A 17,705-nucleotide genomic window follows, 5' to 3' on the forward strand; every position below is an offset into this window, starting at 1 on the left:
AAGGGAGGGAGGAAGGAAACTAAGGAGGAAGGTGGCGTGTACAGAGGTACAGAGGTCCTCAGGTGCTACCCGGCACTGGTGCCTACGCAGTTTCCAATGGGCTCAGCTTTGCAAAAAGCTCATTGTGTAACCCAGGAAGCCCAAATTTATTTCTGAGCAGATGTCTTTTCAAAGTGATTTTCCTTTTAGGAAGTGAGAGGAGAATGAAGGGGAGGGTTATCCTAATTCTGATGTTAAAAAAGTCAAAACAAAATAAATTGGTCTTCATTGCAACTATTGGCTAAAGCACTATCATCACCAGGACCGTCACCTCAAACACAACTCCTGACAGCCCCTTCCATTCTAATCAAGGTGTGCCCAGCTGTGGTCACCCAGGGGCTGTTTACCTTTACTTAAAGAGAAATGCTGGTACTAAGCCATAAAAATTACCATATTCACCATCTTTCTGCTTCAAAGAAGGTTTTAGATTACCAATGGCTGGATCAATCACTGTGAGTATGTTCTTGGGAACTAAAAGCCAAAAAGAAATATTTTAAATACGTGGTATATTTTTAAAATGTGGACTCAATATATTTTTAAATGCAATGTAGATAAGATTTTAAAATCACTTTCCAAATCGGTGCAAGAGTCACTCCCTCTCCCTGTTAGATACACACACTTACACACAACCCAATGGTATCCACGTGATCATCAAATGCTCCAGAGAGGTGGTTTTAGGCCAATTTTGCAATATTTAAAAAATGGAGAATAAAAACAAGATATGATATATCCATCCAGCAGAATACACCTCAGTAATAAAAAGGAATGAAGACTCGGCATGGTGGCTTACACCTGTAATCCCAGCACTTTTGGAGTTCGAGGTGGACAGATTACTTGAGGTCAGGAGTTCGAGACCAGCCTGGCCAACATATTTGAAACCCTGTCTGTACTAAAAATACAAAGTTAGCTGGGCGTGGTGGCACACGGCTGTAATCCCAGCTACTTGGGTGGCTGAGGCAGGGAGAATTGCTTGAACCTGGGAGGCAGACGTTGCAGTGAGCGAAGATCGCACCACTGCATCCCAGCCTGGGTGACAGCGTGAGACTTCAACTCCAAAAAAAAAAAAAAGTGAAGTACTGATATGATACATGCTACAACATGGATGAACCTCTGAAACATTACATTCAGTTAAAGAAGTCAGCCGTGCACACACACACAAAACATCCATTGCATAATTCCATTTGTATGAAATATTCAGAAAAGGCAAATCTAGAGAGAAAGTAGATGCGTGGTTACCTGGGACCGGGGTGTTGGGAATGGGGCAGTGATGGCAAATGGGCATAAGGGAGCTTCGGGGGATTGTAAAAATGTTTTAAAACTGGAGGGTAGTGATGGTTGCACAACTCTAAATTTACTAAAAAGCATTGAATTTTATTCACGTGTAATAGAATTTTAAGAAAAATAAACAACACCTGAATAGAGTGGTTAACTCTGGGCCGGGCATGGTGACTCACGTCTGTAATCCTAGCACTTTGGGAGGCTGAGGCAGGTGGATCACTTGAGTCAGGAGTTCAAGACCAGCCTGGCCAACATGGTGAAACCCTGTCTCTACTAAAAAATACAAAAATTAGCCGGACGTGCTCACTTGAACCCAGGAAGTGGAGGTTGCAGCGAGCTGAGAGTGTGCCACTGCACTCCAGCCTGGGTGACAGAGCAAGACTCCATCTCAAAAATATACATATATATATGTGTATATATATATATGTGTGTGTATATATATGTGTATATATATATACACACACACACATATATACACACATATATATACACACATATATATACATATATATACACACACACAGTGGTTATATATAAATATATATATATATACCAGTGTGTGTGTATATATATATATATATCACAGTGTGTGTGTGATATATATATATATACACACACACACACACACACACACACACACACACACACACAGTGGTTAACTCTGAAGATGAGCTTCCCTGGACTTAGTAAAGCAAAATGACTGTGACCAACTCAAAATCCACCATTAAACTCTTCCAGCACCTGCTCTTCTGCTTTCTACCCCAAGCTCTTTGCCTCTGTGTTTCCATCGTAAATCTGGAAAGAATTCGAAGACTCTGTGTTAAAGTGATTTGCTAAATATTATCAGAAAGAACTACAGAAAGATGCAGAGAGGATGGCAGCGGGACCGAATCCTTTGAACGTGGTTTAAGACTCTGCTGAGACTGACGCTAAGAATAAGCCCTGAGATGTCAGAACCCCCAGGCAAAGCAGCTGGCAGATGACAACACCCGCTGAAACAGAGGGCAGAGCAAGAATTCTGCAGGCCAAGCACTGCCGCAGGCTGGGAGAAGGGAGTGGAAACCGAATATTCCTCCTGCATAAAATTGCTTATTTTTGTTTGTTCCTCAGCGCAGCTGAGATCTTGGAGATGTAGCAACAGGAAATGGAAAGAAAGCAAAAACAAACTGCAAATTCAATTGCACTGCTTTTTTAAAAAAGAACAAGTGAGACATCTTCAGCAGCAAGAAAACCTTGTTTCCTTTCTTGGAGGGCTTAACTAAATTCTTCTGGGGATGTCCCAGGATCAACAACCACAGGACATTCCTAGATTGTGAGTTTTCCATGTACAGGAGGCCCTGGTGCCTTCGTGCCCATCAGCAGCAAGGGAGACTTCCCAGGGAGGCCCGGTGAAGTTGCTGGAGGTGGCTGATGATTTCTAGGGCCTCGAGGAATGTCCCTTGGCTGTCCTCAGGGCACACCACTGATCCTGGGACCATGGCAGCTTCGGAGAGCTGAGCGGAGCTGCTGCAAAATGCTTTCTGCTTTAATTACCTCTCATTCATTTCTGGGCCCTGAGAAGGATGCAGTAGCCCGGGAAGTGTCAGCTCTCCCTGCCAGGGGTGGGACTTCTTTCTCATGTCTGCCTCTTGGCTGTTCTCAAACTGTGGCTTCAGGAGGGCCTTGGCTCTTGGCAAATGCCAGAGGCTTTACAGTTTGAGAAAGAATCAGAATTTTGAAGAGGAGCTCAGAGAGGAAGGTCATTCTAGGATGCACTTTGCAGAATAACCAGGCAGTGAAAAGGTGAAATTGGCTGTGTATGACACAGGCCACTGCAGGGAATGTGCCCCTCTACTATGGGAAATTGGTTCTGAAATCCAGAGAATCTCTTAGGACCTTTAAAATCACCGTTGTCAACACACTTGTCAGATTTTTGCATCTGCTCGTTTCAAACGGGTTCAGAATGAGGTCGGGGACAGGGGTGTGATTGATCACCGTCCTGCTCCACTTCAGATATGTTGGTGAGAACACTGGGGACCACTCTTCATGGCGCTCCTACTGTGTGCAGCACCCTGTTCTCAGCAGTTTAAACCAGGGCCATCTTCCTCCTCATCAACACCTTTCCTCTCCCACTCAGCAATCTCAGCGTCTCAGCCCCTAGAGTGCAGCTAGTGTGCATACCCTAGTGTTCACCCTACAGGATGGTTCTCTTTGGAAGACTTAAACCACCACCCCCAAGCTAAATTAGGCCCCCTCCACTGCTATAGTCTTCTTCCCTTTTCTAAAATAGCATTTGTCACAATAGGGCATGATGATGTGTCTGCCTATTTGGTTAATGCTTGCCTTTCTCCCTCAACTGTTCACCCCATGAAAACAGGACCGTGTCTTTTTTTTTTCTTTTTCTTTTTTGAGACAGAGTTTCACTCTTCTCACCCAAGGTGGAGTGCATTGGTGAGATCTCAGCTGACTGCCAACTCTGCCTACCAGGTTCAAGTGATTCTTCTTGTCACAGCCTCCCAAGTAGCTGGGATTACAGGCATGCGATACCATACCCAGATAATTTTGTATTATAAGTAGAGACGGGATTTCACCATGTTGGCCAGGCTGGTCTTGAACTCCTGACCTCGTGATCCACCCGCCTCAGCTTCCCAAAGTCCTAGGATTATAGGCATGAGCCACTGTGCCCGGCCAGTTCTTGTTGTTTTACTTATTTATTTTTGGCAGATTACTGTTTACAAGCATTTATACACACACACACACACACACACACACACACACACACATATGGGAGTTTATTAAGTATTAACATTCACGATCACAAGATTGTGATTGTGTTATTAAGTATTGACTTCCACAATCATATATATATATCCCATTATATATCCTATTAGTTCAGTCCCTCTAGAGAACCCCGGCTAATACCCATACAAAAGCACAAACTGAAAAGGGGGGGAGCCGCTCTGCCTTGGAGGAGCACATGTCCCTTTCCTGGATCCTCCTGCCATAGGTCACAGAGTAGATGTTGAGGAACTTGGATTCATGGCAGTGCAGTTTCAGCTCCTTGTCTTCACACACGGTTTTGTTTTTTAATTCATCTGAAGCAGAAACAAAAATTGAAGGCACCATCAGCTTCCCCCAGAAGGAATTGATGAGCTGTGTCCAAGTCCCACTGCTCATTTCCCCAGGGCTGCACCCTGAGAAGGGGGCAGTGGGGATGGCCCTGTGGGCTCATGCTGTCTCTGACCCCAGAAAACAAAGCCCTATGCAGGAAGCAGGTGGGAAGCAACCTGTTGACAAGGGCAAAGACCCTGGGAATGATACTAAGGGGCAAATGGAGGAGAGGTGCTGGCGTTAAGGAGGCAGACACATGGAGTTAGGTCCCAGGAAGGGCCTGGCTAGAAAGCAAGTTTCTCTCGCTCAGCACTTAAGGTCACACATTCCTTCACTGAAGGGGGCCTTTTCTCAAATGTTGGCTTGGGATCCACATAGGTAAAGACAGACCAGAAATTACTTGAAAGAAGCATTAAGCTTCTTTCTCTCTCTGGAGAGAGCCCAGTTAAACCTCACCTCCAGCCCCTCAGCTGGCATCCCCTTGTGTGTACGAATTATTTATTATGTTAGTTTAGCTTAGTTTTTTTTTTTGAGATGGAGTTTCACTCTTGTTGCCCAGGCTGGAGTGCAATGGCACCATCTCGGCTGACCGCAACCTCCGCCTCCCGGGTTCAAGCGATTCTCCTGCCTCAGCCTCCCGAGTAGCTGGGATTACAGGCATATGCCACCACACCTGGCTAATTTTTTTTGTATTTTTAGTAGAGATGGGGTTTCACCATGTTAGCCAGGATGGTCTCGATCTCCTGACCTCGTGATCTGCCCGCCTCGGCCTCCCAAAGTGCTGGGATTACAGCAGTGAGCCACCGCGCCAAGCATTAGTTTAGTTTTTTAGAGACAGGCTTTCACTCTGTTACCCAGGCTAGAGTGCAGTGGTGCAATCATAGTTCACTGCAGCCTTGAACTCTTGGGCTCAAACCTAGGCACAAGGGATCCTCTCGCCTCGGCTTCTCAAGTACCTGGGAATATATGAATGCACACCATGCCAGCTTACATTTATTTGTTTAAAAGACAAGAAAGAGGCCAGGCACAGTGGCTCACACGCGTAATCCCGGCATTTTGGGAGGGAGGCTGAGACAGGAGGATTGCTGAGCCCAGAATTTGGAGACCAGCCTGGGAAATGTAGCAAGGCCTCATCTCTAATTAAAAAAAAAAAAAGCAAGAAAGATGATATGATACCAAATAAAATCATTTCCTTTCCTAGGAAAAGGGCAAAAACAAGGCACGGTGTCAGTTAAGAATCCCTCTTTAGAGAAGCATGAAAAGTCTGCCCCAAATCTGGTAAATCCAGGAACAACTGACTGTCAAGCTGATGGTGCATTCTAGGTTAGGATGATTTGGACCAGGTTGTACTTTGTTCCTAAAGAATTCAAGGAAAAGTTTGTTTGTTTAATCTGCTTAATATAGTAAAATCTTTCTTTGCAATGTCATGCAAAGTTGGCGTTACGTGTGCAGTGTTGAAGAAAACATAGTTAATTGTTTTTTTAAAAGAATGTACTCCAAAACCATTTAATTAGCAAAAATGTTTAATAATGATTTGATTTTTTTTTTTTTGAGACGGAGTCTTGCTCTGTTGCCCAGGCTGCAGTGCAGTGGCTCGATCTCTGCTTACTGCAAGCTCCACCTCCCGGGTTCATGCCATTCTCCTGCCTCAGCCTCTGGAGTAGCTGGGACTACAGGTGCCCACCACCACACCCGGCTAATTTTTTGTATTTTTAGTAGAGACAGCGTTTCACCATGTGAGCCAGGATGGTCTGAATCTCCTGACCTTGTGATCCACCTGCCTTGGCCTCCCAAAGTGCTGGGATTACAGGCATGAGCCACTGCGCCTGGCCCTTTGAGTACATTTTCTAAGAAGTTGGTCATGAGTTCAGATGTCTGCCTCAAAGAGATACTTGTGGTTTCCATTAAAGAACCCACCTTCTCTTTCTACAGGAGTATTTATGGGAGATATGGGCCTGGAGGTTGGAATCTATCCTGGTTGTACTTTGCTATACTGAAGTAAGGAGTAAACCTACAAATAAATTCATATTGAAGTGTACAAAGGGGGCTCTACAATAGGTAGGAATTCTATTTAGTTTTGTTGGGTAACAAATCCTTTGAGAAGCAAATAATAGCTCACCTACAAATCTGGTGATCTGTATAAGTTGGGATTTTTCATGGATCAGTTTTGCTTGGATTAAACTATATAATCACAAATATATTTACACCCAGAGAGAGAGAAAGAGTGTCTGTTGAAACTGTATCATCTTAACGTGTCTATAAAAGGCAATACCTGGAAGGTGGTGGGTGCCACACAAGTTAAGCTGTCTTCCCTCTGGCAGGCAGGCTTCTGGGAACTACACATTGGGTAATCTTGTCCATAAAATGCCGATTGGACACTTATTGTAGAATGCCGAGGGCACTGTAGATTCAGATAGTCCCCATCACAGGCATAGGTGGTGTGGTTTTACAGGAGTTTGGTTAGGTAACCTGGAAAATATTCAGTCGGGTTACAAGAGGCCCAGGAACCCACCACCCCTCCTTGGGTTTGGGGACAGGAGGACGTTGGTTCCCCTGGGGAAGGGTTGTTGAGTTAACAACATGTGGGGTAGGGCCTCCCTAGAAGCTCTGGTGCAGAGGTCACCAAACCAGGCCCAGAGGTGGGGCACAGGAGCCAATGTCAGCTTTCATGTTGATATGGAAGGGGGGCAAGGGAATGCTGGTTAGAGAAGGGTGGGGTCCCTGGCAAGCGCTCCACCCTCGGGCTTGTGCCCTTGCACCTTAGTGAGAACAGGCACTCCTGTTTTCATGTCCAAATGTTGCATTTTCCAAGAATACTCTGGCCTGCTATGACCCCCATCCTGTGCCCATAAAAAACCCAAGACCCTAGTGGGCACAGACACAAGTGGCTGGACATCCAGAGGAGCAGAGAAGCAGAAGAGCACACTGATGGACATCAGCAGATGCTGGCAGGCTTTTGACAGTGGGGAGATGTGGAATTCACTTGGGGGCGGTTGGAGGAGAGTCTGGCTGCTAGGCAGCCCGACTCTAGGGGAAGACCACCTTCCCACTCCATCCCCCTTCTGGCTCCCCATCCATCTGAGAGCCACCTCCTCCACTCAATAAAATCTTGCATTCATTCTCCAAGTCCACATGCGATCTGATTTTTCAAGTACACTAGGGCAAGAACCCGTGATACAGAAAGCCCTCTGTCTTTGTGATAAGGCAGAGGGCCTAACTGAGCTGATTAACACATGCCGCCTGCAGATGGCAAAACTGAAGGATACCACTGTAACACATGCCCACTGGGGCTTCAGGAGCTGTAAACACCCAATTCCACACGCTGCTGTGGGGCCAGAGCCCAGAAACGCTCCCCACGACCTGCCCATCTGCACGCTCCCTCTAGGGGTTTGAGCAACAGGGTACTGAGAAGTGAGCCATGCCCCTGTATCATGCCCTGCAAGGGGGATAAGGGAACTCCTCCTGTTTCAATGTTTGGGTCAGAAACCTTGGTCTGGGATGGCCCAATGAATGGTTTGGAGGGCTCTTTCCCCTTCAGGAAGCACTAACGTATTGGCCAGGAGCCAAGAGGTCCTGAAGCACCTTTATAAACCAGGAAAAAAAATTGGGGTGAGTGTCCCATGGACGTGTGGATGACCATCCTGAGGGAGGCTTTCATTTGCTCATCTCCCACTAGGGAGGCCATGCCTTATTGAGATGAGAGGATGCAGTTTCATTTCAAGAAATCACTCTTGGCTCTGTCTTGGTGCTGGCAAGGAAAGACAGGCAGGTGCCCTGTGCAGAGAGGTGATGGTGGGGCTCTGCTGTGGGTTGAATGGTGTCCCCTCAAATTCACGTTCATCAGTGTGGGGAAAAGAAAGAGAGATCAGATTGTTACTGTGTCTGTGTAGAAAGTAGACATAAGAGACTCCATTTTGTTCTGTGCTAAGAAAAATTCTTCTGCCTTGAGATGCTGTTAATCTGTAACCCTACCCCCAACCCTGTGCTCCCTGAGACATGTGCTGTGTCAACTCAGGGTTAAATGGATTAAGGGCTGTGCAGGGTGTGCTTTATTAAACAAATGCTTGAAGGCAGCATGCTTGTTAAGAGTCATCACCACTCCCTAATCTCAAGTACCCAGAGACACAAAACGCTGCAGAAGGCCACAGGGACCTCTGCCTGGGAAAGCCAGGTATTGTCCAAGGTTTCTCCCCATGTGATAGCCTGATATATGGCCTCCTAGGAAGGGAAAGACCTGAATGTCCCCCAGCCGGACACCCGTAAAGGGTCTGTGCTGGGGAGGATTAGTGAAAGAGGAAGGCCTCTTTGCAGTTGAGATAAAAGGAAGGCATCTGTCTCCTGCTTGTCCCTGGGCAATGGAACCTCTTGGTGTCAAGACCGATTGTATATTCCATCTACTGAGATAAGGGAAAACCACCTTAGGGCTGGAGGTGGGACATGCTGGCAGCAATACTGCTCTTTAATGGATTAAGATGTTTATGTGTATGCACATCAAAAGCACAGCACTTAATTCTTTACCTTGTTTAAGATGCAGAGAGCTTTGTTCACGTGTTTTCCTACTGACCTTCTCTCCGCTATTACCCTATTGTCCTGCCAAATCCCCCTCTCCGGGAAACACCCGATAATGATCAATAAATACTAAGGGAACTCAGAGGCCGGTACCGGCAGGGGTCCTCCGTATGCTGAACGCCCTTCCCCTGGGCCCTATTTTCTTTCTCTATACTTTGTCTCTGTGTCTCTTTCTTTTCCAGGTCTCTCATTCCACATAACGAGAAACGCCCACAGGTGTGGAGGGGCAACCCACCCCTTCAGTCAGGAACCTCAGAATGTGACATTTGGAAATTGGGTGGTTGCAGATGTAACAAATTAACTTGGCGACATACTGGAGTAAGGTGGGCCCTTCACACCATATGACTGGTATCCTTATAAGAAGAAAAGAAGAGACACAGAGGGAAGACAGCCGTGTGCAGCTGGAATGATGCACCTGAAGCCAAGGAATGCTGCGCATTGCCGGCCACCACCCAAAACTGGAAAAAGTCAGGCAGGATTCTTCCCTAGAATCTTCAAAGGCAGCACAGCCCTGCCAACACCTGGATTCAGACTATGGCCTCCAGAACTGTGAGAGGATGAATTTCTGTTGTTTTCAGCCACCCAAGCTTAGGGAATGGGTTGCAGCAGACTGGGAATAAGACAGGCAGCCAGGCAGCCTCCGTGGAATTCCCAGGCAGCTTGCAGGAGCCACAGTGGGCCCTGGGCTCTGAGAAGGTCTGAGGCCCAGCAGGCGCAGGGGCCTAAATTATTTCTCGGCAAGGAGGAAGGAAGGTTCATCAAGAACATAGATCCCCTTCCTCCTTCTCACACCTCACGAGGTCACAGCGACGTGGCTGGGAGGAGAGCCAGTGACTTTTCACTGAGGTGTGTGGGAGACAGCTTGGCCGCCCTTGGCCTCTGAAGGGAGGAGGTGGCGTGAAGGAGGGCAGCTTTGGAACTTCCCAGTTCCTGCTTGATGACCTGTGTGTAAAGTATTCCTGTTTAGGTTTCAAAATCCTCTCAGAAACATAATTCTCAGAAAATCTAGGCACCCAATCCAGCTCCCTGGCCTTCTCTGAAATCTGAAGTCAAAGGGGCTGAGCCAGCCTGCCCTGGGTGTCAGGCCTCTGAGCTCAAGCTAAGCCATCATATCCCCTGTGACCTGCAGGTACACATCCAGATGGCCCGTTCCTGCCTTAACTGACGACATTCCACCACAAAAGAAGTGAAAATGGTCTGTTCCTGCCTTAACTGATGACATTGTCTTGTGAAATTCCTTCTCCTGGCTCATCCTGGCTCAAAACCTCCCCCACTGAGTAGCTTGTGACCCCCACTCTGCCTGCCAGAGAACAACCCTCCTTTGACTGTAATTTTCCTTTACCTACCCAAATCCTATAAAACGGCCCCACCCCATCTCCCTTTGCTGACCCTCTTTTCAGACTCAGCCCACCTGCACCCAGGTGAAATAAACAGCCATGTTGCTCACACAAAGCCTGTTTGGTCGTCTCTTCACACAGACACGCATGGTGCCATGACTCGGATCAGAGACCTCCCTTGGGAGATCAATCCCATGTCCTCCTGTTGTTTGCTCCGTGAAAACGATCCACCTACAACCTCAGGTCCTCAGACCCACCAGCCCAAGGAACATCTCACCAATTTTAAATCTGGTAAGCAGCCTCTTCTTACACTCTTCTCCAACCTGTCTCACTGTCCCTCAACCACTTTCTCCTTTCCACTCTTCAATCTCTCCCTTCTCTTGATTTCAATTCCTTTCATTTTCTGGTAGAGACAAAGGAGACACGTTATATCCGTGGACCCAAAACTCCGGCGCTGGTCATGGACTGGGAAGGCAGCCTTCCCTTGGTGTTTAATCATTACAGGGATGCCTCTCTGAATATTCCCCCATGTTTCAAAGGTGTCAGACCACGCAGGGATGCCTGCCTTGGTCCTTCACCCTTAGCGGCAAGTCCCGCTTTTCTGGGGGAGGGGTAAGTACCCCAACCCCTTCTCTCCATGTCTCTACCCCTTCTCTGCTTTTCTGGGGGAGGCACAAGTACCCCAATCTCGTATCTCTACACCCCAATCCCTTATTTCCAAGCCCCTACCTCTTATCTCTGCACCCCAATCCCTTATTTCCGCACCCTGACCTCTTATATCTCTGTACCCCGATCTCTTATTTCCATGCCTGGACCTTGTATCTCTGCATCCCGACCCCTTTCCCACTTTTCTGGAGGGTAAGAACCCCCGAACCGCTTCCCTCCATGTCTCTACTCTCTCTTTTTTCTGGGCTTCCTTCCTTCACTATGGGCAACCTTCCACCCTCCATTCCTCCTTCTTCTCCCTTAGCCTGTGTTTTTAAGAACTTAAAACCTCTTCAACTCTCACCTGACCTAAAATCTAAGCATCTTATTTCTTCTGCAATGCTGCTTGACCCCAAAACAAACTCAACAGTAGTTCCAAATAGCCAGAAAATGGCACTTTCAATTTTTCCATCCTGCAAGATCTAAATAATTCTTGTCGTAAAATAGGCAAATGGTCTGAGGTGCCTGACGTCCAGGCATTCTTTTACACATCGGTCCCTTCCTAGTCTCTGTGCCCAAAGCAACTCATCCCAAATCTTCCTCCTTTCCCTCCCACCTGTCCCCTCAGTCCCAAACCCAAGCATCGCTGAGTCTTTCTAATCTTCCTTTTCTACAGACCCATCTGACCTCTCCCCTCCTCCCCAGGCTGCTCCTCGCCAGGCTGAGCTAGGTCCCAATTCTTCCTCAGCCTCCACTCCTCCACCCTACAATCCTTTTATCACCTCCCCTCCTCACACCCGGTCTGGTCTACAGTTTCATTCCATGACTAGCCCTCCCCCACCTGCCCAGCAATTTACTCTTGAAAAGTTGCCTGGAGCTAAAGACATAGTCGAGGTTAATGCTCTTTTTTCTTTATCCTAAATCAGATAGCATTTAGCCTCTTTTTCATCAAATATAAAAATCCAGCCCAGTTCATGGCTCGTTCAGCAGCAACCCTGAGACACTTTACAGCCCTAGACCCTAAAAAGTCAAAAGGCCATGTTATTCTCAATATACATTTTATTTCCCAATCTGCTCCCTACATTAAATAAAACTCCAAAAATTAAATTCTGGCCCTCAAACCCCACAACAGTATTTAATTAACCTCGCCTTCAAGGTGTACAATAATAGAAAAAAAGCTGTAATTCCTTACCTCCACTGTGAGACAAACCCCAGCCACATCTCCAGCACACAAGAACTTCCAAATGCCTGAACCGCAGTGGCCAGGCGTTACTCCAGAACCTTCTCCCCCAGGAGCTTGCTACAAGTGCCAGAAATCTGACTACCAGGCCAAGGAATGCCTGCAGCCCAGGATTCCTCCTAAGCCGCGTCCCATCTGTGCGGGACTCCACTGGAAATCGGACTGTCCAACTCACCTGGCAGCCACTCCCAGAGCCCCTGGAACTCTGGCCCAAGCCTCTCTGACTGATCCCTTCTCGGCTTAGCGGCTGAAGACTGACGCTGCCTTATTGCCTCGGAAGCCCCGTAGACCATCACGGACGCCGAGCTTTAGGTAACTCTCACAGTGGAAAGTAAGTTCATCCCCTTCTTAATCAATACGGAGGCTCCCCACTCCACATTACCTTCTTTTCAAGGGCCTGTTTCCCTTGCCTCCATAACTGTTGTGGGTATTGACGGCCAGGCTTCTAAACCTCTTAAAACTCCCCAAGTCTTGTGCCAACTTAGACAAAACTCTTTTAAGCACTCCTTTTTAGTTATCCCCACCTGCCCAGTTCCCTTATTAGGCCGAAACACTTTAACTAAATTATCTGCTTCCCTGACTATTCCTGGGCTACAGCCACACCGCATTGTGACCTTTTCCCCCAGTTCAAAGCCCCCTTCACATCCTCCTCTTGTATCTCCCCACCTTAATCCGCAAGTATAGGATACCTCTACTCCCTCCTTGTTGACCTATCATGCACCCCTTACCATCTGATTAAAACCTAATCACCCTTACCCCACTCAACGCCAATATCCCATCCCACAGCATGCTTTGAAAGGATTAAAGCCTGTTATCACTCGCCTGCTACAGCATGGCCTTTTAAAGCCTATAAACTCTCCTTACAATTCTCCCATTTTACCTGTCCTAAAACCAGACAAGCCTTACAAGTTAGTTCAGGATTTGCCTCTTATCAACAAAATTGTTTTGCCTATCCACCCCATGGTGCCAAACACACATACTCTCCTATCCTCAATACCTCCCTCAACAACCCATTATTCTGTTCTGGATCTCAAACTTGGTATCTTTACTATTCCTTTGCTCCTGTCATCCCAGCCTCTCTTCACTTTCACTTGGACTGACCCTGACACCCATCAGGCTCAGCAGATTACCTGGGCTGTACTGCCGCAAAGCTTCACAGACAGCCCCCATTACTTCAGTCAAGCCCAAATTTCATCCTCATCTGTTACCTATCTCAGCATAATTCTCATAAAAACACACGTGCTCTCCCTGCTGATCGTGTCTGATTAATCTCCCAAACCTCAATCCCTTACAAAACGACAACTCCTTTCCTTCCTAGGCATGGTTAGCGTGGTCAGAATTCTTACACAAGAGCCAGGACCGCACCCTGTAGCCTTTCTGTCCAAATAGCTTGACCTTACTGTTTTAGCCTAGCCCTCACGTCTCTGTGCAGCGGCTGCTGCCGCCCTAATACTTTTAGAGGCCCTCAAAATCACAAACTATGCACAACTCACTCTCTACATTTCTCATAACTTCCAAAATCTATTTTCTTCCTCACACCTGATGCACTTACTGTCTGCTCCCCGGCTCCTTCAGCTGTACTCACTCTTTGTTAAGTCCCACAATTACCATTGTTCCTGGCCCGGACTTCAGTCCGGCCTCCCACATTATTCCTGATACTACACCTGACCCCCATGACTGTATCTCTCTGATCCAACTGACATTCACCTCATTTCCCCATATTTCCTTCTTTCCTGTTCCTCAACCTGATCACTCTTGATTTATTGACGGCAGCTCCACCAGGCCTAATCACCACACACCAGCAAAGGCAGGCTATGCTATAGTACAAGCCACTAGCCCTCCTCTTAGAACCTCTCATTTTCTTTCCATCGTGGAAATCTATCCTCAAGGAAATAACTTCTCAGTGTTCCATCTGCTATTCTACTACTCCTCAGGGATTATTCAGGCTCCCTCCCTTCCCTACACATCAAGCTCAGGGATTTGCCCGCACCCAGGACTGGCAAATTAGTTTTACTCAACGTACCCCGAGTCAGATAACTAAAGTACCTCTTAATCTAAGTAGACACTTTCACTGGATAAGTACAGGCCTTTCCTACAGGGTCTGAGAAGGCCACCACAGTCATTTCTTCCCTTCTGTCAGACATAATTCCTCAGTTTAGCCTTCCCACCTCTATACAGTCTGACAACAGACCAGCCTTTATTAGTCAAATCAGCCAAGCAGTTTTTCAGGCTCTTAGTATTCAGTGAAATCTTTATATCCCTTACAGTCCTCAGTCTTCAGGAAAAGTAGAACAGACTAATGGTCTTTTAAAAACACACCTCACTAAGCTCAGCCTCCAACTTAAAAAGGACTGTACAACACTTTTACCACTTTCCCTTCTCAGAAGTCAGAGCTGTCCTCAGAATGCTACAAAATACAGCCCATTTGAGCTCCTGTAAAGACGCTCCTTTTTATTGGCCCCAGTGTCATTCCAGACACCAGACCAACTTAGACTGTGCCCCAAAAAACTTGTCATCCCTACTATCTTCTGTCTAGTCAAACTCCTATTTGCCGTTCTCAACTACTCATACATGCCCTTCTCTTGTTTACACTGCCGGTTTACACTGTTTCTCCAAGTCATCACAGCTGATATCTCCTGGTGCTATCCCCAAACTGCCACTCTTAACTCTTGAAGTAAATAAACAATCTCTGCTGACAGGACTATGCTGAACCTCCTTAGGCACTCTCTAATTAGATGTCCTAGGTCCTCCCAATTCTTAGACCTTTAATATCTGTTTTTCTCCTTCTCTTCTTCCATTTAGTTTTTCAATTCATACAAAACTGTATCCAGGACATCACCAATAATTCTAAATGACAAATGTTTCTTCTAACAACCCTACAATATCACCCCTTACCACAAAATCTTCCTTCAGCTTAATCTCTCCCACTCTAGGTTCCCACGCCGCCCCTAATCCCGCTCGAAGCAGCCCTGAGAAACATCGCCCATTGTCTCTCCATACCACCCCCAAAAAATTTTCACCATCCCAACACTTTACCACTATTTTGTTTTATTTTTCTTGTTAATATAAGAAGACAGGAACGTCAGGCCTCTGAGCCCAAGCTAAGCCATCATATCCCCTGTGACCTGCACGTACACATCCAGATGGCCGGTTCCTGCCTTAACTGATGACATTCCACCACAAAAGAAGTGAAAATGGCCTGTTCCTGCCTTAACTGATGACATTGTCTTGTGAAATTCCTTCTCCTGGCTCATCCTGGCTCAAAACCTCCCCCACTGAGTACATTGTGATCCCTACTCTGCCCGCCAGAGAACAACCCCCCTTTAACTGTAATTTTCCTTTACCTACCGAAATCCTATAAAACGGCCCCACCCCTATCTCCCTTCACTGACTCTCTTTTCAGACTCAGCCTGCCTGCCCCCATGTGAAATAAACAGCTTTATTGCTCACACAAAGCCTGTTTGGTGGTCTCTTCACACGGACGTGCATGAAACTGGAGTCCTCGCGCCCACCAGCCCAGAGTGCTCTCTAGAGGAAGGTTACAGACCCTTCCTGGCTCACTCATCCAGACGTTAGCTGTCTTGCTGAAACTCCTTTTTTCACCCTTGAAAACCACTGGAAGAATGGCCAAGAACCCAGCTATCCTGAGTAGGTTCACTTAAAGAAGCAAAATCTAACATGAGTAGCAAAATGGACATTGGCACCAGGAGTGTGGGTCAGAGTCCTGCCCCTTGGAACTACATCATCGCTTGTACAGTGTACCCCCCAGGCACCAAGAGACCAGGCTGAGACCCTTCAGTTGCCCTGGGCCTCTGGTCAGTGCTTCCCGCCTGGCACACAGGCAGGCCCTCATAAAACAATGAGTACTGAAAGTTCCAGCCTTCTTGGTGGGTTCTCAGCACCCCGTCGTGAGCCACACCCTACCCCAGGGAAATCAGGGTCACCCTGCTTCTACCCCTAGGCCAGTGCCCCTTCTGAAGTGCCCAGGCTGGCACCCCTATACTTAGATCTCTTCAACCTCCTCATGAAAACCTTCTTGTCTGTCACCCCAGCATTCCCCGGACTGTGCTAAATGAGCAGCTGACCACACGTCAAATCAATTTTCAGAGTTTGCCTTTGGTTTAATATTCATGGCTTATCCAAAAGATCTTGTCACCATAGCTAGATGAAAAAAATGACAAGGCTCTGGAGAAGCAGAGCCACAAGATGGAAGATACCTGGGTCCCAGGTTCATGAGGAGAGGAGCTGCCTGCTCCACAGACTGTCACGTGAGTGGGAATGAAACTTTTGCTGCGTTTAGACCATTACCTTTCTTCACTTTGTCACATAGTCTACCCCCGCTAAACAGAACTTGACCTCCAACAGACCGTTTACATCAAGACCTTCAGCAGTACAACCTGGCCTACACTCAGTTCAATTCCTTCTTCAAAAACCTAGGCCCGGCCAGGTGTGGTGGCTCACGTGTGTAATCCCAACACTTTGGGAGGCTGAGGTGGGTGGATCACCTGAGGTCAGGAGTTCGAGACCAGCCTGGCCAACATGGTGAAATCCCATCTCTACTAAAAATACAAAAATTAGCTGGGGTTTGTGTTGGGTGCCTGAAATCCCAGCTACTCCGGAGTCTGAGGCAGGAGAATCACTTGAACCCGGGAGGCGAGGTTGCAGTGAGCTGAGATTGCACCAAGGCGCTCCAGCCTGGGCGACAGAGTGAGACCCTGTCTCAAAAAATAAAGAAAGAAATAAAAATAAATTGAGGAAGGATTGAGCATACAAAATAGAATGAGCCTTTGACCCTGAATACCCTGCAGTGAGAATTCCCCTGTGGTTCTCAGGCTTCTGTAATTCCAGCAAATACACCCTTCCTTCATGTTCACTAAAATGCAGATATTGTGAGATAATGCTCATTTCTCACAGCTTGCTTGAATAATAATAATGATCATTATAGTAATTTACAACTTAATAGTCAACACTGCCTTTTTAACCCAGTCTGTGAGACTGAATCGAAAAAGTGACATTCTTTGAAGCTCTCAATTAATACACCAGACTGCATAAACTCTAATAACTTACCTTTCCATGGAAAGAGAATATGTGGGTATTCTCTTTGAAGACAAATGGTAGAGAGTAGACTCTCATCAAAGACCCTCTGGCAGTAATGAGTTGCATTCGGGAAGGTTCCAGAAGGTTCTGTGGAAGGCTGCAGTTTGAGATTGGTTCTCAGGTGTCTGTCTAACTACTTTCTAAGGATGAAGACTCCTGGTTCGTGTTTTAGCTACACCCACAGGAGCAACAGAGTAAGACATTCCTCCACACCATAACAGACCCCGGCAGTGCAGAGCCATGTGGGTCTTCTCTGTCCTGCTGTCCACAGTCTGGTTTTATCTTAGACCCAGCCTGGTGCAATTCATGTTGTGTATTGGCACTCCACTTAAGTTTCCTGTTTGTAAAAAGCCCCTTTCATTCGGTGATTCCTAGGGCTTTAGGGGAACTTTCTGGAAACCAGGAAGAAA

The 17,705-nt window shown here is 46.9% G+C and overlaps 1 long non-coding RNA gene and 1 pseudogene across 1 annotated transcript, besides 6 other annotated features; both read right to left on the reverse strand.

Annotated features, from left to right (window-relative positions):
- Positions 1–3,991: 3,991 nt before the first annotated feature.
- LOC124900652 (uncharacterized) lies at positions 3,992–16,185 on the reverse strand. The gene is made up of 3 exons (XR_007057998.1): positions 12,151–16,185; positions 6,680–6,876; positions 3,992–4,391 (listed from the first exon to the last, which is right to left on the reverse strand). It is a non-coding gene; the product is annotated as an uncharacterized LOC124900652 (long non-coding RNA).
- On the reverse strand, positions 4,241–6,883 carry EVA1CP2 (EVA1C pseudogene 2; annotated as a pseudogene).
- Positions 8,125–8,962: an enhancer, noted in NCBI's record as "NANOG-H3K27ac-H3K4me1 hESC enhancer chr4:3927243-3928080 (GRCh37/hg19 assembly coordinates)". NCBI's record gives its function as "activates a minimal SCP1, AML or CMV promoter by ChIP-STARR-seq in naive H9 embryonic stem cells {active_cell/tissue: H9 hESC(naive)}" and the evidence as "EXISTENCE:reporter gene assay evidence [ECO:0000049][PMID:30033119]".
- Positions 8,963–9,800: an enhancer, noted in NCBI's record as "NANOG-H3K27ac-H3K4me1 hESC enhancer chr4:3928081-3928918 (GRCh37/hg19 assembly coordinates)". NCBI's record gives its function as "activates a minimal SCP1, AML or CMV promoter by ChIP-STARR-seq in naive H9 embryonic stem cells {active_cell/tissue: H9 hESC(naive)}" and the evidence as "EXISTENCE:reporter gene assay evidence [ECO:0000049][PMID:30033119]".
- Positions 9,801–10,638: an enhancer, noted in NCBI's record as "OCT4-NANOG-H3K27ac-H3K4me1 hESC enhancer chr4:3928919-3929756 (GRCh37/hg19 assembly coordinates)". NCBI's record gives its function as "activates a minimal SCP1, AML or CMV promoter by ChIP-STARR-seq in primed H9 embryonic stem cells {active_cell/tissue: H9 hESC(primed)}" and the evidence as "EXISTENCE:reporter gene assay evidence [ECO:0000049][PMID:30033119]".
- Positions 11,477–12,314: an enhancer, noted in NCBI's record as "H3K27ac hESC enhancer chr4:3930595-3931432 (GRCh37/hg19 assembly coordinates)". NCBI's record gives its function as "activates a minimal SCP1, AML or CMV promoter by ChIP-STARR-seq in naive H9 embryonic stem cells {active_cell/tissue: H9 hESC(naive)}" and the evidence as "EXISTENCE:reporter gene assay evidence [ECO:0000049][PMID:30033119]".
- Positions 15,135–15,976: an enhancer, noted in NCBI's record as "OCT4-NANOG-H3K27ac-H3K4me1 hESC enhancer chr4:3934253-3935094 (GRCh37/hg19 assembly coordinates)". NCBI's record gives its function as "activates a minimal SCP1, AML or CMV promoter by ChIP-STARR-seq in naive and primed H9 embryonic stem cells {active_cell/tissue: H9 hESC(naive and primed)}" and the evidence as "EXISTENCE:reporter gene assay evidence [ECO:0000049][PMID:30033119]".
- Positions 15,977–16,816: an enhancer, noted in NCBI's record as "H3K27ac-H3K4me1 hESC enhancer chr4:3935095-3935934 (GRCh37/hg19 assembly coordinates)". NCBI's record gives its function as "activates a minimal SCP1, AML or CMV promoter by ChIP-STARR-seq in naive H9 embryonic stem cells {active_cell/tissue: H9 hESC(naive)}" and the evidence as "EXISTENCE:reporter gene assay evidence [ECO:0000049][PMID:30033119]".

The sequence above is a fragment of the Homo sapiens genome, chromosome 4 (assembly GCF_000001405.40).
Source record: "Homo sapiens chromosome 4, GRCh38.p14 Primary Assembly".
Classification (NCBI taxonomy): Eukaryota; Metazoa; Chordata; class Mammalia; order Primates; family Hominidae; genus Homo; species Homo sapiens.